Consider the following 24,824-nt stretch of genomic DNA (forward strand, 5'->3'; position numbering starts at 1 on the left):
TTCATTTCTTTGCTTTATTTGCAATCATCCTTATTTTTATATATCAATTATTCTTGTCTTTATCCTTATATCTTTCCTTTACCATTTTCTTAATTACACCATGTTTAATAAGATAGCAAATAAATTTGTGGATGTTATAAAATAATTTATATATTTTTAAGAATAATAAACGATGAGGGAAATACAAGAAAAATGATATACATACTATTTTCTCAAGTGCCCATTCAGTAGAAGTCACATAACAAGGCTGATTCTTACTAAAATCTCAAAGTACAACCATAAGGTCAATTTGGTAAGTGGTAGCTGCTCCATAAATCCTGCTGAATTTGTTGATGAATGAATGAATAGATCTGCAACTTGTCGAGATGAATACTGGGAAGAGTTGTTCACTATAACTCAATTGTTCAACTTTCTTATGTAATAATAGTGTAAAGTAGAACTTGAATTTATTTTTAGTTTTTCCATAAGGATAACCAAGTGTAACCTCTCCCTGAAAGTACTGTGTTACTACCTTTCATCGCCACTAAATGCTTGGTTAGAAATCCTTTCATAACAATAGTGATAAGAATATAGTATTTTGAAATGTGTCAATAAACTAAACTAGCCTGAGCCTATTTAAAATGTTAGTTTGCTTCCAGAAAGACATGATGACTTAAAATGTCATTCTTAATGAGATCCACTTTATAAGAGACTACGCAATTTACCCACTTCTCAAATTTTTACAAAGTCAATTTGCCTCTTAATGTTCATGTATGTTCAAACCTTGCAGGATGGAATAAGAATAGTTTCTCATCTCTTATGTCTTGCCTCCTGTCTAATCAAAGCATTTTCTAATTCAAATTGCATTAAGTGGTGCACATCAGATGAGTTCATCTAGTCATTGAATGAGAAAAGCATCCCACTGAGGGCTGAGCTGAGGAATCACTTAAAGCTTTTAACTATCAAGCTGTTTTCAACCTATTTATTTTCCATGACATCAATTATCATTTTCACAAGATTGGTTTCTCAATAGTTTCTTTTCCTGGTGAGGTGACATAAAAAGGAAAAAAAAAAAGTGATCTTCTTACTCAGTTACATAAATCTCAATACCAAACCCCCATCACATTCCCAAACAATCATTCTATCTAAATTCACTCATAAGTAATATTGTAAAATAGATTATTCTATTGTGCAAAAGAGGATGTTAGAAGTTTTGCTTGCTTTATAAAAAAATACTGGGGCTTTTATAGCTATATATAAACAAAGAAATTTATCATATTAGTGTAATAATTCATTGTTTGATCACCATTATTCATTTGATGATTAGAAAACAAAACTTTTAGAATCTCTTTCTGCTTAATTCCTTGCAACTGGGCCATTCCTTGATGGATTTTTTTTTTCAAATTGATTTGAATAGCATTTAAAAAACAGTCTAAGGCAATTGGCTATTTATTTTGATTTATTAAAAACAGAAACTACATTTAAGAAAAATTCAGTCCAATTTGAAATTGGAATCTGAAGTTCACAAACATTGTGCCACAGTTTGTCCAGATATCCACAATTCAATGTCATGTACCTTGTGTTAGAAACTTTTCAATTACATTTAAAATGAAATAAAGAAATTAGATTTGGGTTCTGGACAAACTTAAAATTCCTATCATTTTTTAACGGCAAATCAACCCTGCCAGCCACAATAGCCATAGTAATGGGGCTCAGGAATTTTTATTCATGTTACATGATATTGGTTTTCAAAAACTGGGTATCTTCTCTTGAGAATGTGGAATTTTGATAATGAAACTGTTACATATCTTTTACATAGGACTAGGGCTGAGACATGTAAATGTATAATAATCAATCATTCATCATGAATACCAGAGAGGCTGAGAATTATCTTTCTAGAGCAATGAATAAAGCTGATATTTGGAGAGAAACACAGACAAAAAAAACAAAAACAAAAAACAAAAAAACAAAAAAAAAAAACTCTACAACAAACCTCTACATGTACCCACTGAACCTAAAATACAAGTTGGAAAGAAAAAAAATTAATGCAATGAGATATCATGAGATATCACCCCACACCTGTTAGGATGACTATCATCAAGAAAACAAGAGGTAACAAACGTTGACAAGGATGTGGAGAAAAAGGAGTTCTTGCACAAGGCTGGTGAGAATGTAAATTGGTACAGCCACTAGGGAAAACAGTAGAGAAACCTCAAAAAATTAAAAATAGAGCTATCATATGATCCAGCAATCCCACTTCTCAGCATATATCCAAAAGAATGGAAATCAGGATCTTGAATAGATAGCTGAACTCCCAAGTTTGTTGTAACATTATTCATAATAGCCAAGATATGAAAACAACCTGTATGTCTATCGACAGATAAATCGATAAGAAAAAAAAAACACTGTAGTATGTATATACAATGGAATATTATTCAGCCTTAGAAAAGAAGGAAATCCTACCATATGTGGCAGCATGAATGAACCTAGAGGACATTATTCTAAGTGAAATAAGCTAGTCACAAAGAAAAAATAATCAATTCTTCCAGTAATATGACTATTTAAAATAGTCAAACTCATGGAAGCAGAGAGTAAAATGGAGACCATAGCGGCGAGGGCAAGGGAAAAATGGGGGTTTACGTTAAATTGGTATAACGTTTCAGTTTGCAAGGTGAATAACTTCTAGACGGGAGGCTGAGGCAGGAGAATTACTTGAATCTGGGAGGCAGAGGTTGCGGTGAGCCAAGATTGTGACATTGCACTCCAGCCTGGGCAACAAGAGCGAAACTCCGTCTCAACCAAAAAGTAAATAAATAGATAAATAAATAAATAAATAAATAAATAAATAAATAAATAAAGCAAAGTTGCTATCTTCAAGAAACTTACAGGTAAAAAGGAGAAATAGATAATACATATATTATGTCACATTATGATGGGGAAATTATAAATGAGTTTATAATAATGTGTAAGCAGCATATACCTTACTGATTCACATTGGGAGGTGATAAGAGAAATTTGAATCAAGAAGACCGACTTTACAGATAAAGAAAATTGAGTCACCAACTTAAAATAAGGAATTTGTATATAGTTTATTCAGTGTGATGTGATCATATTCAATATTCCATCTAGAGACCCAGCTAGTTGTTCATCAATTTCTCATCACTAAAACAAACAAACAAACAAACAAAAGAACAACCCTAGAAAGACTATTCTTTCTCTATTGTCTTAGCAACTTTGTTGAAAATCATTTGAGCATACATTTGAGGATTTCTGGGCTCTCTCCTTAATTCCATTGGTCTAAGTGTTTGCCTTTCATGCCAGTACCATACTGTTTTCAATATGGTAGCTTACTTTTGAAATAAAGAAGTGTCAAATCTCCATCTTTGTTCTATTTTTACAATGTGGTTTTGCTATTACGTCCCTTGAGATTCCAGATGAATATTAGGACGAGTTTTTCTATTTCTGCAAAAGCAAATGGTGGTGGGAAAATTAAATATCCACATGCAAAAGAATGAAGTTGGACTTTTCCTAACATGACACATAAAAATTAACTTAAAAATAGTTTCATAGTCTAAATGTAAGACCTAATATTATAAAACTCTAGAAGAAAACATAAGACAAAAGATTCACAGCATTGTATTTAACAGTAGTTTTTTGGATCTAGTACTAAAAGCATAGACAACAAATTAAAAAATAGGTAAGCTGTATGTCATCGAAATTTCTAACTTTTATGCATCAAAGGTGATTATCAAGAATGAAAAACACAACTCACAAAATGGAAGAAAAAATATTTTTTAAATCACATATCTCATAAGGGATTAATAACTAGTATACATATTTTAAAAACTTCTACAATTCAACATCCAAAAATAGCCCATCAACACTTTAAAAATGAGCAAAAGGCTTGAGTAGACTTTTTTTCAAAGACAATATTCACAAGTGACCAATAAAGACATTAAAAGATATTCAACATTACTATTTATTAGTAAAATACAAAACAAAACCATAATGAGATACCACTTTGCACCCACTAACATGGCTATTATAAAAAAAGAAAAAAACACACAGTTAAAAAATAACAACTGTTTTGGAGTATGTGGAAAAATTAAAATTCATATACATTGCTATGGGAAGGTAAAATCATGCAGTCGCTATGGAAACCAGTAAATATTAAACATAGACTTACCATATAACCAGCAATTTCACTTCTGGGCATATACTCCAAAGAATTGAAAGCAAGGACTCAAACAGATATTTGTACACCAATGTTCATAGCAGCATTATTTACAATACCCAAGTGATACAACCAGCACAAATGTCCATCAATAGATAAAAAAGCAAAATGTGGCATATGTATAATAGAATATTATTCAGCCTTAAAATGAACTGAATTCTGATACATACTGAAATATGGATAAACCTTGATGGCATTATGCCAACTAGGCAAAACAGAAAAGTACAAATGTTGTATGACCCTATTTACATGAGACACCTGAAATATTAAAATTCATAGAAACAGAAAGTAGAGTAGTAGTTACAAGGGGTTGGGAAGGGGAATGGGGAGTTATTGGTTAATGGATACCAAGTTTCAGTTTGAAATGATGAAAAAATTCTGGAGATAGATAATGGCGATGGTTGATGCAATGAAGATATAACAACGTGAATGTACTTAATGCCACTGAACTATACGCTTAAAAAATGTCAAAATGGTAAATTTTATGTTACATATATTTTACAACAATAAAAACAATTTTTAAAAACCACCTGATTTAAGGTAGTCTCTTTCCAAGTTCCTTGAACTGAGAAATTTTGTCACTTTCCAAGTCCTCTCTCTTAAAAACATTTGTTAAACTCACAGAAATTATTTTATAATACGAAGCCCCATTGGCAATATACATGTAAGTGATTTACAAAAGAAAACAAAAGTAGTATGAGGAAATAGGTGGTATTCTCTCGGGTGTGGCTTAAATTTTCTTATCTCTCCCTAGAAAAGTAAAAGTGGTCTTTAAGGGCTGCCCTCACTAAATCGCTACAAAAAATAAATAAACAACTCTTGGGCAGGTGCCTAGACATCTTGCAAATTAAAAGAAAACACATTTTTAGGCCTTTCATGGATTTTTTTCCAGTAGTAAACATGAAGAGTATTATTTAGGACTGCTTATACTTGACAAAGACTTTATACTTGAAAGTCTGATCTTTGTTTAAACGCAAAGAAAAAAAAATTCTTGACAAAGTTTCACTACTATTCAAAATCTGCTTGAATATAAAAACATATGCCATCGTTCCATGATTTTGCTGAGTGAATATACAATAGTACTGAAAGAGAAGGAAATATATTTGAATTACACCACCTCACAAAGTAATGTCCCAAAGTAGAATGAAATAATCTGTAGCAAAATGTGTTGTGGCTAGCTTAAAATAGTTTTACATTATAGAAATATATGAAAGGCATAAGTTTAAATAACAATCTTAAAAAGTCCAATTCATAATAGTGACCAATACATAAAATTTATAGCAAACAATATTTTAGTACAAAGGAAATCAAGATAACTAGCATCTGGAATAAGAAATGTGTAAAGATTGTATAATTTTGATTACAGAATGCATGACTTATGTTCCATTATCCAGTCTTTTCTACTTCTATGTGGTGCTTTCAGTTTAGTGACACTGGATTTCTTTTAATACGTTTAACTTACTTTCTCCATTGTGATTAATAGAAGTAAATCAAGACTTTTCACATTCATTTGTTTTTCAGAAAAAAAAGTAATGTAACATTTTTTCTAAATAATTTCCTAAATATGAATGTATTAATTATAATTTCATGACTACTGCCTATTTTTAAGAAATTAAATTTATGTGCTGCAAGGATTACTTTCATCACTTAATGTTGTGTAAACATTCTATTAGGAGAATTGTTTATTCAGGCTTGTATATTTTCAAGTGATGTATCTATCATTGTTTCAGTGTTTTGAATGTAAAATACATTGTTTGTTCTTATGGCTACTATTTTTTTTCCATGGAAATTTTAATGCTTATCTCTGGAAAAAAAGCTCTAAATTGGTTGACTAAAACATAAAATTAACCTAAAACACTGAAATCTGATTTTATTTATTATAGAATGTGAATCTATCTATCTCTACATATAGACAAGACAAGGCAATCTGCAAATATGATAGTTTGCGCAAGCAGTGAAATGGAAGTACAATGATGCATATTTGACATCTGAATCAGTGATCTAATGACTCATACTTTGCTTTCCATTATGTAGTATCATCAAATGGTTTTATTTAGTTACTGATTGAATCACATTATATTAAAAAGGAGTACAGTAACCACTAGAAAAACCAATAGCGACGTTCCAGACCAACCACTTTGTGAAATTTATAAATATTATCCACAAAAACAAAAAAGCTCAAACCATAAAGACATAATTAAAAGTTATAATATTTGTTTAAGAAAGGGATGACTTACCTTTTTACTTGGAGTTGTATAAATCAAGTCACAATATGGATTATAAATATGCCCCCAAATAAAGCAGAAACAATAGCAAATTTATTTAAACAAAACATATTAATGGATTTTACTGTGAAGGATAATAGCATGACTTTAGTGCATGAAGACTGATACTCTTTTTACAACAGGGTGGAAATCTTGATGAATTTATGTACAAATTAACATTTGGCCTAGATTTATTATGGATTCCAGGCAGATTATTTTACCAAATTAAAAATTATGACTTTTAATGATGGCTAAAGAAGTAATACTTGCATGCAAATCCATCTAACATTCAAAGAGAACATTTGAGATTTAAAAAGCTATGCAGTTTTGATTCAAAATTGAAGTAAATTTTATAAACTTTAGTATGAACAAAATTCCTCACATGATTTTCTAGCAATCAATGAGAAGAATTGGCAGGAACTGCAGATTATGTATTTCCATTCTAAATTGGAGTGAATGTCAAGGCAAACTTGAAAAAAAAAAAAGGTTATGGTTTTGTGTTTGTATATTTGCTTGTTTTTAATTAGGGCTATATGAAAATACGCTTCTATGATACTAAGAATGTCAGAAAATATTACTTCTATAATTGTAATAGCTTTAACAAAGGAATGCCATGAAAAATTTCTAATGTCCTTAATAGTCATGAATTCATAAGCATAACATCATCATATTTTATATACAGAATGATCATTTTTTAAAAAAATATATTTAAGATAACAGGATCAAGATAATAATTGCATTTATATTGTGAAATATTCAATTCTTTAAGGAAAATGTCAGAAAACACATATGTACCTTTTGAAGAATTAAAAAACCACTCTTCTACTCAATATCAAAGTTAAAAAGTGATAAAATGACTTTGAAGACTTCACAATTTCATTTCTCCCAAGGCCTAAAAATTCCACTGTTCCATCTTCTAGTTCATTAATTCTTGCTTAGGACATGTATAATCTTGCTTAGTTTTGTAAAAACTGCAGTGAAAGCCAACTGTTACACTTTTTATTGTTATTATTTAAGTGTTTTTATTGTTCATAGATTCCTTGCATATAATCTTAAGCTTTGAACAGGTAATTATATTTATTTTATTATCTTTGTCTAATTACATAATTATATGAAGTATCTGTGTATTTTCTTTTTTTGTTTTTTTTTTTGGTTTTGGTTTGGTTTGGTTGTTTTTGCAGCTCATGTTTCATTTTTGCTCTCTGTAAATAGATATTTTGACTGTAACTTTGTTGTTTTCCTTAAAAATTGATTTTAGGGCTTTTTCATGACCTTTAGTAGAACTGGGTTCCTTTGAGATGACATGTGCCAAGCACCTGAATGTACCTTGCAAGATTTCCAATTCTTAATTTTTGACTTCTTGACTTCATACAAGTAGTGAATTTTGGCTGCAAAGCTGCATTATAAGAAATGTTTGGATATAAATTCTCAGTTATGTTTTTCACATGTCTGTTTATTACCCTTCTTCGTATTTGACATTCCAACTGATAGCGAGTTACAAAGGAATTAATATTCCATGTGGTACCCAAGGAGTATATTTCACATTCCCACTTAACACTCAGAGTTCTGGCTTAGGTTTTGAGGGATTCCTTTGATACCCCACTGTGGGTGGTCTGTGCTTGGGCCTTGTCCCTTCTCTGTGGTGCTTTAAATAATTGACTCCAAGTTCACAGAGTCTGGGAGACCTCAGATGAAACCTGGCTGCAGGAAAACACTTTTATTCCCTGACTCATCTCTCCACTCAGGTCTCTGACCTGAAATCTTCTGACATTATTATTATGTAACTAATGATTTTAAGGCAATATATTTTATATTTTATCCAGAACTATTAGTTTTTTCAGTACAGGTACCAATCCGAGTGCTATCCAGTCATATTAGCAGAAACAGCTGTTCAGACTTTTTTTGTCTGTTTGTTTTAAGACTGGTAATGTTTAAAATGATGTAATCAATGTTAATTTTATTATTCTGTACCAGCAAATTATTTTCTTTATTCATTAGAGAATTTAAGACTATTATTATTAGTGAGCACAATTACTACCATATTTAAACACTAACATAAAAGCTGACAAAATATTCTCCAAAGATAATGGAATCCAAGGGTATATAAGGAAATCACCATACATCAGCCTGCCATGTTAAAACATGAAAACATCCATGTACTATGCCTTGGCATGTACTATGCCTCTGAGTCTAGTGTGCGATTTAATCTTAATCTATAGGAAGGACTAAATCCTTGATGCATATTTTATTTCCCAAACCAAATAATTTCTGCTATTCCTAGATAATCATAATTATTTTAAAATTTTTAATTTACTAGAGATAAAGAATAAGAAAAAACTTTGTTGATTTAAAGCCCAAACCATTGATCATGGAGCAAGCCATAGAAGCTTAGGTAGAAGGCTACAGATATTGTCATTTCTCACAGTATTATAATAAAATAATAATATTTTTAAATGATATATTATGTTTTACTCTCATTGTTAATATTTTTGAGTGTTTAATGATTTAATTTATATTTGTGAAGCACTGATGATCCTGAAAATTTGAAAACCTTCCTCTAAAAAAATATGTACATTCTTTTTCTGGATGGGTGATTCTGATGTGAGCAAATGCCCATGTGTTTATGTGTTCAGTCTTACACTCTACTGACTTTTGATCCATTAATTTAATTTTTAGATTAAATTCAACTTTCTCTATTCATATATATGAAATACATAATAAATTTTATTTATCTATATAGTGGAAAATGTGTATCTTAGTTATTTAAAATCAGGATTAACTGAGTGTATCAGGAGCCTTCATAACTTACCACAGAAGATGGTACTTCATCAATAGTGTTTACTTAAAAGTCTTTGACTTCTAGGAAGCTGACTGGTTCAGGGGTTTATTAGTCTGCTGATAATGTCAGAACAATTTTTCACATTCACTTAGAGTGGAAGCTATTCAGAAAAGATGCTTGCTGGGATTTGAACATAATGGATTTTTCTAATTCACTCCCACACTTGCCACCCACATATTTTCTTTCTATTATTTCACAGATGAAATTAGAGCCATAGTCAAGAGTTTATAATTAAAGTGACATTGTTATTGCGTTTATATTATACCCAAAACAATGATCAAAGATTAACTAAAGGTCAAGGCACAATGTGTTAGAAAACAAGGAAACACACACACACACACGCTGAACTAGCAATTAAGGTTAGCAGCATATAATCGGAAAAATTCGTTCTTGGTGATGGGAGAATCACATTCAGTTGTACAACTGAATGTGAAAATGAAAGGTGATGGTGACAGAAATTAATTTTGTTCATATTATGAGCATTTATAGCAGACAGAGCACCAGGCAAGATCATAGAGTGGCAAAAATTGAAAGCACTAAAGGCTTATTAAGACCATCAGTTTCATTTCACACTCAGTAAAAGCTTGCTTATAGTAAGAATGATGAGGGAGGCTGAGGCAGGAGAATGGCGCGAACCCGGGAGGCGGAGCTTGCAGTGTGCAGAGATAGCGCCACTGCACTCCAGCCTGGGCAACAGAGCGAGACTCCATCTCAAAAAAAAAAAAAAAAAAAAAACAAAAAAAAAAAATTAGTGATGAATGGTTCTTAGTCTTCTCTAGTTTGAAATATTTTGAGAAGCAAGACATTTGTTCTTTCTATTTCAATTCAGTACAGTCCCAGGCTAACACAAACATGCCCAATGTGTGTAACTGGAGCTCCACAAAAATTTGTTCATCAAACATAGCCAATTCTGCCTTTTCTGTTCTTTTGGATAGCTTTTCTCACTGTCAGAATGGTCTCTATGTAGTTTCTAGAGTATTTTCTCCAATTCTTCTAGGTCATAACAAAGGCCATGAAGCATTTCCTCATCTCTATAATTTTTTTTTTTTGCTTTTTAAAAATTTTTATACTTTTTTATTTTGAATTAATACTAGACTTAGAAAAAGGTTGCAAAAATAGTAAAGATACCTCCCTTATATCTTTCTTCCATTTTCTCTAATGTTAATGTCTTAACCATAGCACACTTGTCAAAAGTAGAAAATTAATATTGTTACAATAGTATTTTTTAAACTACAGAGTTTATTCAAATGCTGTCAGGTTTTCCACTATTGTCCTCATGTTGAATACCTGTACCTAGTTATGTGTGACTAGATTTCCTGAAAGTAAGTATAGCTAGAGATATTTATCTGGGAGTCATAAACATACAGAGTAATTAAAGCCATGATTTTGGAGGAGATCCCCTAGAAAGTGAATGCAAATAGAAAATGAGTTATCAAAATACTGATCGCTACAGTCATCTATCATTTATAAACTGGGAAGATGAGACTTTATGAAATAGACTGAATGGGTCTATCTGGTGAGTTCTGAAGTAAACCAAGTAGGATGTCACTGAGGATGAATGAAAAAAGGTGTGTGTGTGTGTGTGTGTGTGTGTGTGTGTGTGCATGTATGTGTGTGTATCAGGTATAGAGAAAAACATTGATGATGCAAGAAAAAAAATATTTACTAATTGTGAGAAAGAGTCCTTGAGTAAAAAATACGGGATTTGATTTTGTGTTTACAAAACATAGCTGGGCACGGTGGCTCACGCCTGTAAACCCAGCACTTTGGGAGGCTGAGGCGGGTGGATCATTTGAGGTCAGAAGTTCGAGGCCAGCCTGGCCAACATGGTGAAACCCTGCCTTTACTAAAAATATAAAAATTAGCCAGGCCCATGTGGTGGGTGCCTGTAGTCCCAGCAACTCGGGAGGCTAAGGCAGGAGAATCACTTGAACCCAGGAGGCAGATGTAGCAGTGAGCCAACATAACGCCACTGCACTCCAGCCTGGGTGACAGAGTGAGACTCTGTCTGAAGAAAAAAAAAAAAAAAGGTGGAGTGTTCAATCCTTTTACTGGAAGAAAAATCTATGTTTATGGGTACAGACCTAGGTAGGATGGTGGGTAATAGAGAAATGTGTAGAAATTATCTTCTTTTTAGTTTTTATTTTATTCAGTGAAATAAAAGAGCAAGATTACCAGATGAGAGTGAGGACTTGGGAAATGGGTCCAAAATAAGTGCCACATAACATAAGCAGTTTTAAGGATCACAGGCTCAACACATTGAAGGTCATTTCTTACCAACAAGTTGTCCAGATAGTCTTCTTTAAGCTAATCTATTGGGTGGATCTCTTCCAAACAGTCCTTAGATTCAGCCTTTGTCCAAAATGTGGCTTCGTAGACTTCATCGTGGAGCTTTGTTCAGGCTGCAGGAAAGATCAATAGGGAAAGTGTGGACAAGAAAATCAAAAAGTTACTCATCGTCTGTACTCACATTTCATTATCTAAAGCAGGTCACTTGTCTCCACCTAACTGTGACAAGGCCAAGAAATACAGTTCAGTTCTATAACCAGGAGGAGGAAACGACTTTCATTAAGTACATAGCTCATTTCTGCTACAATAGGGTTCAAGGTTTGAGGAGAAAAAAGGATGTAACATGTGAATTTAAGTCATTAGGAAAATAGAAATTATTATCTATAGGGAAGTTGCTGAGTAGTACAAAAGTCTCTGTTGAGGTTGGTAGTTTTAAAGTGGGAGCATTTAACATAGTTTGATATTAGTTCTTAAAGTTGTGATCATGGTTTTACAGTTAGAGTAGTCAGTAATATGACTACTATGGTAATGTTTCTGCCTGTGAGAAACAGGAAGTGAGTTGGATTGAGCCACATTAGAGTTTTACCTGGAAGGCTCAGGAGAGAGAAGAAAGAGACTTGAGGGAATAGCAAATGGGTAATTATAAAATAAATTATAACATCCAAAACCGATAGGGAAGAATGTAAGGACAAAATCTCAGTGACTTTGAAAAGCTTGTAGGGTCAACAGATTTATGGTCCCAGAGATATTTAAAGCAAAACGAAAACAAAAAGTATTGCAGTCAGGGACCAGAGGGAATGAGGTAGAAACACAGGATTTGCGTGTTAATGAAGTGCTTGTAATGGGTATGACCATAAGAGGTGAGTTAAAGGAGAAGAGCATCAGAGAGGAAGACACTGAAAGTGTTCTCTACTTGAATATCAAAATAATAATTAATTATGGCAGAAGAAATAGAGGGAGTGCTAATGATTCAGGGGCTAAAATCTTCCAGTTTTGACAGGGAGGGCATGGGATCTGTGAATTGCCATATGATTTTCAAAGGAACTGAAGGTTTTGTAGAGTAGAGAGGTTGTATGAACGTGCCACAGAAGGATGAGGAAGACATTTGCCTCCAGGCAAAGTGACACGTTTGAGAGGAAAAACAATCATCACTAGATGACTGCATGGAAAGCAGTCTTGGGGCACAGTAGTAATTTTGTTTAAAATAAGAGAATAAATCAACACTGCAAATAAGGAATTTTCTTAATGAAATAGTATGGATTTCAATGGATTTCACAAAGATTCTTGATTGTACAGAGGTGTGACATTGGGTCAGGTAAGGCAATTTGCAGTTTTATTCCAGGATGAGAGTCTTGTTAATGAGGGATAACATTTAGGAAAGTAATTAATTTCAGCAGCTTTGAGCAATTAGCTGTTATTTTATCTGTTTTCCCAACTATCCCTTGAGCACAATCCCTTTGGATACGTGGGGGTTTAATCTCACAAAGTCATAGACACACACACACACACACAATCATAAAAGTAATATGATGTGGTATGTAAATCATACGTAGCATCACCATATTTGAGAGGCCAGAATATAAACCAATAAAAATGTTGAATGCATTATTAAGGCCAAAATGTTTTAATAAAGAGAAAAATTAGTTTATATAAGCATTCGAGGTTTTTTTGTGTTTGTTTTTGTCAGTAGTCTTATCCTGAAGGAAGAAAAATTATTATCTAAGTCAATTGATTCCTTTTCTTATAATAATCAGCAGTTAGAAATACTTGAGAATCCTCCTAGTGATATAAAACTTCAGAACAAGTCTCCAAAGAGAAACAGCTATGGTTTTAATAAATGAAGGCCTAGTATCATATAAGGGGAATACATATCACAGACTCAATTAATGTTTATGCTAATTGGTCTTTACAAGTGGGATATTAAATATTGTATGATAATTAGATAAAAATATTAATAATAAAAATATAAATATTTCATTAAGATTATTAAGATTGAAATCATACAATACTTATAGAATGGTGTTGTAGGCTTTACTGATAGTAATCATGGCCAGTTCTTTGTCATTTCCAACTATAGTTGGTTGTGCTAAATGCTTGTTTTGAAAATGCAAATTTGTTCCAACTTGATTGACAAAGTAGGAACTATTTGAGCAAAATGAAGTTTTTGCATTTGCTTATGTGCAAACTCTTCCTGAGAAACACTGGGTGCACACATAAAACTGTACCCAGATGAATGAATACAAGCAGGAATTACGCAAACTGCATACTCTTCAAATATCTGCTACCTACTTCCATTTGTGGTACAGGTTAAAACTTGCAATGGTCTAAGTATTTGTGCCTGTCCAAACCTCATATACTAAAATCCTGATCCTCAAGGTAATCATATTATAATTGAGGGCCCTTGGGAGGTGATTACTTCATGAGGGAAAGAGCCTTCAGGCTGAGATGACTGCCTTTATAAAAAAGGCCCCAGAAAAACCCTCACCCCTTCCTTCCACCATGTGAGGACACCACGAGGAGGTGCTATTTGTGAAACAGAAAGTGAGCTTTCACTAGATACTGAATCAGCTGAAACCTTAATCTTGGACTTCCTAGACTCCAGAACTGTGATAAATACATTTCAGTTGTTTATAAGCCACCTAGTTTATGGTATTTTGTTATAGCAGCCCAAAAGGACTAAGACAGTCCTATTTCATATAACCCTCTTTCCACCCTCTACAAGATGCTATTATTCTGATCCACACATCTGCAAGTAAACCTTAGATCTGTTTCAAGGTAAAATGCCATTATTCTTGCAGTATTTTTATGTTTCTTAACCATAAAATTATATTATTATTTTTAGTAGTGCCTACATTTTTTATTTTTTATCAGATGTTACTGATGAAGTTTTTGAGTGCTTGTTTTCCTAACCCTATTTCTTTACATAAACCCGGTGGTTTGTATTTCATAATTTTACATAGTGTGGTAATTTTAAGGCAAAACTAACTATACCGGAAATTTCCACTTTTCAGCCTCCTTTCAGTAATTTGGGCAGTATTATGTAACACATTTTGGCTAATGGGCTATGGAGAGAAGTAACATGTAACTTCTAGGACAAAGTATAAGATCACAGGCACACAACCTTCCAATTGTCTCTGATCCTGCTTCATCAGTGTGGGAGGACTAGTGTTCCAGATGGTGCAGCAATAGGAGGGTGGAACCCCTGTCAACTAGATCATTGCATCTCTGCATGAAAGACACTTTCTTTTAAAAATATTTGAGAACATAATCATATTGTATATGAAAGAAAAATAAACATTTATAGTGTTAAACCACTGAGATTGTGAAATTGTCTCCTACTGAAGCATAGCATAGTATTTTGATTTGTATAGGAGGGAAAACCATAATCCATGAATTTGGGGTGTAGAGTTTCACCATACATCAATGTATGTATTTTTAATATTCATCTTTATTAATCTTACTTTGAATGCATACATGCTGCTCTGTATGCAAAATGTTCTGCAGTTTTTACTAAATACATCATAGTAAATGTTGTGACTTCTCATCACTCCCTGCCCTCACACGTACAACTTCTTACCCTTAGAGCCATAAAATGAGAGTCAGGTCAACTGTCTTACGTGACTATTTCAGTATCTCATATGTGAAGGATGAGAAGAAAAGGATTTTACTTTGCTTATGAAGAAATGGAGGCAGCTGTCCCTCTTTTCTCCTGAAAGAGTCTACTCCTTACTCTGGCTCTTTGTTAAATAAACAAAATCTCTTCAGGAGCAAGATAGCCCTTTTGTTCTTCTTCTTTTACTGCATATAGATATCTCTAACAGTCTTGGCTCAATTGCTCCTTGAAATGAGAATACCAAGAAGGTTAGCCACTCCAGTCTTCTTGGCACTTGGGGGCTAAACAATTGTCGTCCTAGAGATAAGAGAAGAGTTATTATTTTGGGTGGGTAAGAGCAATTAACTATACAAATGGCTACAGATAGAATTTTCATGCTATGTGAAGAGTCTAAGGAGATAGATTCTAGCCATATCTATCAATGAAGCAAAGAAGATATCTCCATTTTTGTAACCAGATAAAAAATCACCACGATTAATTTAAAATTAATCAAACTAAATTTTATACATGCTCGGACAAAGTTGGCAAATTATGTTCTTATTGACATAGGATTTAATAATTTTGTACTCCAGACAGAAACAAGTGTTATTTAAGGAAACACTATAAAAGTCTGTTTTTAAATTTTCCAAGAATAACTTCTTGTTTCTGATAATATTATTAGTAGCTGATAGTGTCCAAATGCTAACTTTGGGGTACATACTATTTTATGGGCTGTTTTCTATTAACTTACGTATTCCCCGCAACCCAATAAGGTGGGTACTAATAACAGTCCCATTTAATCTGTAATACAACTGAAGTAAAGAGAAATTTGTCCAAGGACACATATTTAGCAAAATCTGTAGTTACAATCTGATCCTAAGTCCAAATCTGATTCCATTTCCTTAATTATACTCTACTACTCTGAGGCAGTATGTCCTATTGTCTCTCCCTGTTGCCCATTCAACCCAAGAGATTTTATTAAAAGGACATGGAAGTTAATGGTTCAGTTGAATTAACAACAATTTTGATAGTGACCAAGGCAACTGTATATAAAATTTTAATATTTGCAATAAGAAACCCAATGGATAGGTCAAAGAGCAAAATGAATACAGCTAAATCATAAATCAGAAATGGATAAAGAGAAAATTGCTATAGCTTGAATTCATGTTTCTCTCCAAAATTCATGTATTAAGTCTCAGATGATGGTATTAAGAGGTGAAGCCATTTGGCAAGTAACTAAGTCATTAGGCATCTGCCCTCATGAGCGGATTAGTGCTCTTTTAAAAGAGGTTGATGGAAGCCCTGATGCTTTTTGATGCCTTTTTCTCTTCAGTCTTCACCATGTGAGAACATAGAGTCTCCATATTTTGCCCTGTGAAGATGCAGTAAGAGGTACCATTTTGGAAGCAGAGAGCAGTCCTTGCCAGACACAATCTGCCAGCACCTTGATCTTGGGTTTCCAGGCTCCAGAACTGTGAGAAATAAATTTTATTGCCTATAAATTAGCGAGTGTGGGTTTTTTGTTATAGTGTCATGAATGGACTAAGATGAAATGTGAACATGAGGTAAGGAGATACAAAGGATAGAAATAAAGGTACTTCCTTACCTGTAAAACAACTTCCAGGAAAAAAGAGAAATAAAACATATATATGTGAAAAAATAGTGACAAAGAATTGCCATAAAAAAGAAAACTGTGAGACATCATATTTAAAAAATTAATGGAATGCTACGTGGTGTGCATAAGAAGGAATTCAGAGCCGAAAGCAATACAGCCGAATTAGAAAAAATCAAAGACAAGGATGAAATTGTAAAATCTTGCAAAGAGTGAGAATTATAAAAGAAAAATAATGAGACAGAAAGTACTCTTGGTATAAACATTTAATATAAAAAGGCAATGGGGTCATATTTCCAAAATGTCAAAGGAAAATAACTTTAAGCCTAGAATTTCATACCTAGTAAAATTATATTTTAAATATGAAGACAAAATCAATATGTTAAGAGTCATATTAACATTGGAAATTCAACTAACGAATGTTTTTGAAAATGCACTTGAAGAAAAATATCCTAATAGAACAAGGAAGGAGAATTCAGGATATTATAAGATTTTCATGAGGGTAATTAAGAATTAAGTTAAACGAAGTTGCTGCTGTTGTATGAATAAGGAGTCACACACACAAAAAAAGACATAGACATAAAAATACTAAGATAGGTTCTATGTGATAAAACATAAAGGGGTGGGGCTTGTCTTTGTCAATAGTGGGCCGCTAGAACAATGTACCATAGACTGGGTGGCTTAAACAGTAAACAGTTACTGCTTTCAGTTCTGAAGGCTGGTAAGGCCAAGGTCAAAGTTCAGCTGATTCAGTGTCTGGTGAAGGCCCTTTTTCTGGTTTGCAAGTGGTCACCTTCTTGCCATATCTTTGCATGGCAGAGAGAAGGCTATGGTCTCTCCCTCTTCTTATATGGACACAAATCCCATCCATGGTGGCTGCACCCTCATGACTGCATCTAAATCTAATGACTTACCTCCTAAAGGCCACATCTCTAACTACCATTACAATTGGGATTAGGGCTTCAACAGATAAATTTTGGGAGGACACAAACATTTAGTCTATAGCAGGGTTGGGGGAAGTACAGAGAGGTAAAAATGTGATAACAGGATGTGCTTATGGAACAACTATGAATTTAATTAAGACTTAAAAATTTGGAAAATTAGAATTATATATATATTAACTTAAAACCACATGTTTAATGCCAATTTAAGTATCACCACTTCAAGAATAAAATTTGAATATATAGATTTGAAACAAGCAAAAGAAAAACTAAGACAGACACAAAAATAAATTATAACAATACTTTAAATAATAATGTTAGAAAGCATGACATCAGAGGGTTGACATAGCTAACAAAAATATTCCATAAAATAAAGGTAAACGTTTTAAACTCTTTGTTAAAAAGGCAGAGACACAGAGCTTAGGCTATATCAAACAAAATCTGGTAGTCTGATCTCTATAAGAGATACAGTTAAAAGCAAAGTTAAAAGATACAGCTAAACACTATCTACAAGTGTTTAAACCAAAAACCTAAACAGGACATATCACGTAAAGATGATACAAAAGAATGCTGTGGTAGAATTTTTAAATCAGAAAATTTAGAACATTAAAAAATTATCATAATGGGCAAAGAGAGACACTACCATTGATAGGAAAAATAAGTCAAGTAGATATAATTACTACGAAAACGTATGCACCTAATGTAATAAAATATCAAGCAATTACTGATTCATCAAGCTGTAGTTATTAATGGTAACATAACATTCTCAGTAGTGGATATATAAAGTAGACAAAAACAAGCATTTGTGAAGAATTGAATAATAGGAATAATAATTTTGAGGTCCTTTTTTTCTACATTTAAGTTATGCCTGTGTGTGTGCATTCTTTTCCAATGAGAAATAATTATGACTTAGATTTGTTGGCAAGTAAAATTCCTCCTAAGCAAAGATCATCTAACATCTGTCTTATAAATAGGGAAATTTTAATGATTTATTACATGCGAGATACTAAGAAACAGCAGTAGTATTTTTACTCTCCAGGCAATCTGATTAGTCAAAATGGAAGAAGTGGAACAAGGACTTTGGAGTTAGGCTCACCTGTGAGATATTTTCCAAAGATAAGGGAATGTATTATGTATCTTAGGACAATCAAAATAACGAGAAAGAATGTCAACATACTTGAGAATGATACAGAGCTACTGCTGATATAAGAATTAAAATTCAATATATTTGGCTCTGAAATGCCCAAGTATTCACATTAACTTTATTAGAATGTTTCAACTAATTTTACTCAAAAGCATTAACTTTATTAGAATGTTTCAACTCTCTCAAACGTAAAGATAGATAAGAATAAGAGTCACATGCTTATAAATATAAATCCCAAATAATTTATTTATATTGCATCACTCCACAAAAAATTAACTAAATAAATATTTTATTTTTATTCTAAAAATGTTGCTTGGCTTCTGTAGTTTTAAAAAACTAGTGTTGTTTATACGCATGGCGATAGATGGGTTCCATGTTTTTTCCTTATTTTTGACTTCTTTGTGACTTGGCTCAAGTTAACCTTTGCAACTTGTTCAATGAGAAACTCCAGTGAACTGTGTCACCATACACAATTAATGGTTGAATGGTCTATAATAAATGAAAATGCCACCACTGCTTAGCAATTAGCTTATGGATTATCTCCAACCACTTAGAAACTCTTCCATCTGCAGCATTTAAACATGCTGAGTGATTTAAATATACTTAAAGTGAGCAGCAATATTCAATTACTCGTTGGTTCATTGTGTGGAATTGTCATCATTATGATTAATAGCCCTTATAAAAAACAATTAATTTGGTATCTTGTTGCTAGGTCAACTATAAAAGCTAATTCTCTTAAGAGAAAATTAGTTTATCAGTACATACCCTTTTATAATGTTTTGATCTAAAATATTAATGTGATCTCTTTTTTAAAAAAGTTGTAGAACTTTAGTATGACAAATGCATCTCTATTGTTGACCTGGGGGAGAGGGATTATTTATGTTTTATACCGAAAGAACATAGTGACAGGTAAAAGGGAAATAAATGCTTCAATTTACACAGAAATCAGGTGTAGAAATTAGGTATATCTCATATTTCAGATCTATCTTTGGGAACTCAATTATTCACATTGAAGAGAGAAATTGCAGCTAGACAAAGGCATTTGCCTTCTCATAGAAGAGTTCAAGTACCCAGGAGATATGCTTCATTTCAAACCCAGTAGCACAAAACACAAATTACTATCTCATCTCATCTGACGAAATCACTGAGTTAAAAAGAAAACAAGAAACAAAGCAAAACAGCCTTTTTCTCAGCAAATGTTTTCAATAGGGATATAAAAGAACTATTCTTGACTTATTCATCATCCCCTGGGTGAGGTGAGAGAAAACAGCACTCTGTTCTTTCGAAAATCACCTTCTAGGCTGGGCGTTGTGGCTCACACCTGTAATCCCAGCACTTTGGGAGGCCCAGGCGGGTGGATCACCTGAAGTCAGGAGTTCGAGACCAGCCTGACCAACGAGGTGAAACCCTGTCTCTACTAAAAATACAAAAATTAGCAGGGTGTGGTGGCAGGTGCCTGCAGTCCCAGCTACTGGGGGAGCTGAGGCAGGAGGATTGCTTGAACCCAGGAGAAGGAAGTTGCAGTGAACCGAGATCGTGCCACTGTACTCTAGCCTGGGCAATGGAGCAAGACTTCGTCTCAAAAAAAAAAACCCAACAACAACAACAAAAAAGAAAATCATCTTCTGCTCATATTTACATTTTTCCCTGAAGGATGTGAGGTTTAAGATCATTCTGCTCCATGAAGCCCTTGAAATCAAAAGGTCAGTGAGTTGGATGGTGATGGTTTTAAGGTGGTAGTATTTGAACAAGGGAGTTATACATTCTTGTAGTCTTAAAGGGACTATTTAGACATGTTAATCACTTTTCTAGTTTTCATTTCCTTTTCCAAGATTATTGCCTAACCTATTAATCATTTCCATAATGATAATTTCCATTATGACCAGTATTTTCTCAATTAATCAAATTCTTTAAGCTTATGCAGAAGTTTCTTACATGATAAATTATTACTCTGAGTTTGTCATGTGTCTTGATAAAAAATAAATTCTAAAAATGTATAAAACTGTAGAACTGGAGTGAAAGTTGAAAGATATTCAAATTAGGTTTTATTCATTACATACATTGCTGCCAATATCACTACTGAAAAATTTTGTGACTGCAGTTTCAAATGGCAATTTATTGTCTGCCTTATTCTTATTGAACAGTCTATTGATGTGACTGTCAGGGTTTTCTTTTTCATGCACCAGCACCACCTTAAATGTATTTTTATTTTATTTATTCATAGGTAATGATACCTATGAATAATTCTTCATTCCATTATAAGCCCTTAAGAATAGTGGCTGTATTTTACTCATCTTTCTATCACCTATATTTAGTCCAGTAGATGGTTTTTAAATATGTGTTGAATTAATAAATGAATGAAGCAATAATTCACTCAGTTAATATTGTCTTAATTTATTTAGGCTGCCATAACAAAATACTATAAACTGGTTAGCTTATAAACAACAGAAATTTATTTCTTACACCTCTGGTGGCTGCAAAGTCCAAGACCAATGTACTAGTTGGTTTGGTATCTTGTGAGGGCCTATTTCTTGGTATCTTCATAAATGGAACTTTCCAAGTTGTATCCTTATATGGTAAAAGGGGCAAGGCCATTCTCTGGGAACACCCCCCCGCCACTTTTTTTTAATAAGGTCACTAGTTTCATTTTTCAAGGCTCTACATTTATGAAATAATCACCTTCCAAAGGCCCCAACACCTAATACCATCACCTTAAGGGAGGACATCAAAATTCAGACCATAGCAGATAGAGTAATTCATTTTATTCAGCAAATTTATTGAGAATGTACTGAGAAAAAATAATTGTTCTAAGACATGCATACATAATGATAGGCAAAATATCATTGTACAATATTACCGTCAATTCGATTGTCCAATAATATTTCCTACTGGCAATATTGAGGTATCCATAAATCCGTATAGGTATAACATGGGACTCAGAAACCACATGGCTTACTCTTAGGCCAATTAGTCTGGCCAAAATCCAAGAATAGATCCTCAGCAATTTGCAAGTGAATGAAAATTAATCAGAGAGAGCTTCAATTAGGTTACAAAGATTTAAAAACTATAGGAAAGCAAAGAAAAAAATAACTACTACTCTCTAATTTATACAGCACGTTATGGTTTATAAAATATATTTGGGAATGATTTTGACTCAGAAGAACATTAAAAAATAGGCTTGACTTTGTTATAACCATTTTACAGTCAAGGAAATAAATTCACAAAAATTTAGGGGACTTCACAAGGTATTATGGAAATTTGAGCCAAGAAAATTCTACAGCCTTGCTTCTCAAAGTGTGGTCCTTAGATCAGTAGTATATACCTTGTTGGAAATGCAGAATTTTAAGCCCCAGACCTGAATCAAAATCTGTCTTTAAACATGTTTCCAAGTGATTCATAGGCATATGTAATACAATGTTTGAGAAACGCTAGTCTACTTTTCTCCACACTATAGCATATCTACTATTACAGTAACAAATTTAGGCATTATTTAAAAATGCAATAGCCTGCCTAGAAATAGCAGAGGCTTAGGGGTAAAAATGCAAACCTACAGACACAGAACCCAGTGAATAGAAACTATGACCAATATTTGAGGGTTTTGTTAACTCACTTTGCAAAGACAGTGTTTTGGGGTAAAATAAGAGACTTCAAAATAAATGACAAATAATGCATGAGAAAGCCAAGGATCAGTGCTGAGTGTATAAAATTAAGACTGGGATTATAAGCACACGTGATGCAGCTTTCTTCATTTCGGTCATTAAAGGGCCTATCAAGTCTTTACAATTAAAGATAAATTCCCAATTGTGATAATTAAATAAAATATAAAAATTAATAGTGACAGAAAAGATCATTCTATGATATGTATCAGAAATTGCAATCCATATAATTGCCAAATTAAATTAGAATGTTGTCATGTGGAAGCTAGAATATACTGAAATGTAAAGGCATTTATTAAACTATTTCTTTTGTTCTGTTTATTTTATGAAGTATGTTGACTATTTTTTTCTTTCCTATGCTGACTCTTAATGTCAATATTGGATAAGATCTCAAAATAATATTTTACATGAGAAAATGTGAATAAATACAGGAACATTTACTTTAGTTTTTGTTGCTACACACTTCATAGAGTTTTCCAAAAAGAAGTGTAAGAATGTATAAAGACAACAAATAAATTTCCTTGTGAACTCAAATGACTATGAACCATCTAGAAAGTAGATAAAAAATTCATTTTAGTCCATTTGAGAGGTAGAAAATATTTAGAGGTTTCAACTGTCTGAATTCATAGATAAGCAGCTACCTCTTTGGCTACATGTTTAAAGTGTAGATTTCCTTCTCCCTCAGAGATTTGCTTATTATTGATATTGATAGACTGTACTGAAATTCACACAAATTTCTAGTTTTCATACAGAATATACCTTCACACATACAAAGATTCTGAGCACTTTAAATAATACTGAAGCCACTCTGTACTACTGTTATCAATCTTTAATAGCTTAATATTGAAATGATCATTTCATAAATGCTTAATGAGGTAAAATGCACCTGGCTTATAGATTTAAAGGGGGGTTAAAAAGTAATGCATCATGTGACATCTGCCTCAAAAGAAAAGCACTATGATTTGGCAAATATCATTATATGATGAAAAATCATAATGTGTCAGCTTTCACCTGTCAGCATGTGTGATGATGGTTAATTTTATGTGTCAACTTGACTGGTCCACAGACTGCTCAGACAGTTGGTTAATTATTATGAGAGTGTCTATGAGAGTATTTTTAGGTAAGATTTACACTTCAATCAATAGACAAAGTAAAAGCAGATTGCTCTCCACGGTGTGGGTGTGCATAGTCCAATCTATTGAAGGCATAAATAAAACAAAAGGTCTGAATAACTGGGAATTTGTTCTCTGCCTGACTCTCTTCAAGCTAAGACATGGGTCTTCTTTCTTTGGACTCAGAGTTGTGCCGAAACTTACATAATTGACAATCTTGGTTCTCAGGGCTTTAGACTAGAATTATATTATTGGCCCTCCTCAGTTTCCAGCTTGCCAAATGCAGATCTTGGGAATCTCAGCCTCCAAAATCACATGTGCCATTTTTTGGAGAATTCAACATGTAACATTGGGGAATTTATCTACATCTCGGTGTTCTCATTTTTAAATGAGGATAATACCACTCCTTCTTTTATCAACTTCCTCAACAAATATTTACTGGATAAATGGGACAAACAAAGTCTCATTTCAATGGAGGATACCAGCATGGGAGATGAACTGTTTAATAGAATGACATAAAATAAACCAAATGCTCTCATCTAGTAATACATGTAATAAATGAATTAAATAAAAATAAAGTGATGAACAGAGCCTGAGAGGTTATTGAAACTTATTTGCATATAATATCTGGGGAAGCCATCTCTGAGGAGGTAATGTTTGAGCCAGGAAGTCAAAGATAACAAAGCATTAATCACTGAAAGAGCTGATTAAATCCATTAAATTTTAAATACTACTTTCTCTTTAAAGGAAAAGAATTTAAATGGCAAACATAGTAAGGACAAGAAACTATGGTGTATGAATTATGTCACTTTACATATGAGAAGATTGCAAGTTAATATTTTAGCACTCATCAATGAAAAACAAAATTATTATGCCAATCACAATGATATATAAAAATGACATGCCTTCTACCAAAAAACATATATATATGAAGAACCAGTTGTGAGTGGGTGTATTAGTCTGTTTTCACACTGCTGATAAAGACATACCTGAGACTGGGTAATTTATAAAGAAAAAGAGGTTTACTGAATTCACAATTCCATGTGGCTGGAGAGGCCTCACAATCATGACAGAAGGCAAAAGGCACATCTTACACGGTGGCAGGCAAAAAAAGAGAGAATGAAAGCCAATCAAAAGGGGAAGCCCTTTATAAAACCATCAG

The 24,824-nt window shown here is 33.0% G+C and overlaps 1 annotated feature.

Moving 5' to 3' along the window:
* Window positions 473-1,332: an enhancer, noted in NCBI's record as "OCT4-NANOG hESC enhancer chr4:32685598-32686457 (GRCh37/hg19 assembly coordinates)". NCBI's record gives its function as "activates a minimal SCP1, AML or CMV promoter by ChIP-STARR-seq in naive H9 embryonic stem cells {active_cell/tissue: H9 hESC(naive)}" and the evidence as "EXISTENCE:reporter gene assay evidence [ECO:0000049][PMID:30033119]".

The sequence above is a fragment of the Homo sapiens genome, chromosome 4, assembly GCF_000001405.40.
Source record: "Homo sapiens chromosome 4, GRCh38.p14 Primary Assembly".
Lineage (NCBI taxonomy): Eukaryota > Metazoa > Chordata > Mammalia > Primates > Hominidae > Homo > Homo sapiens.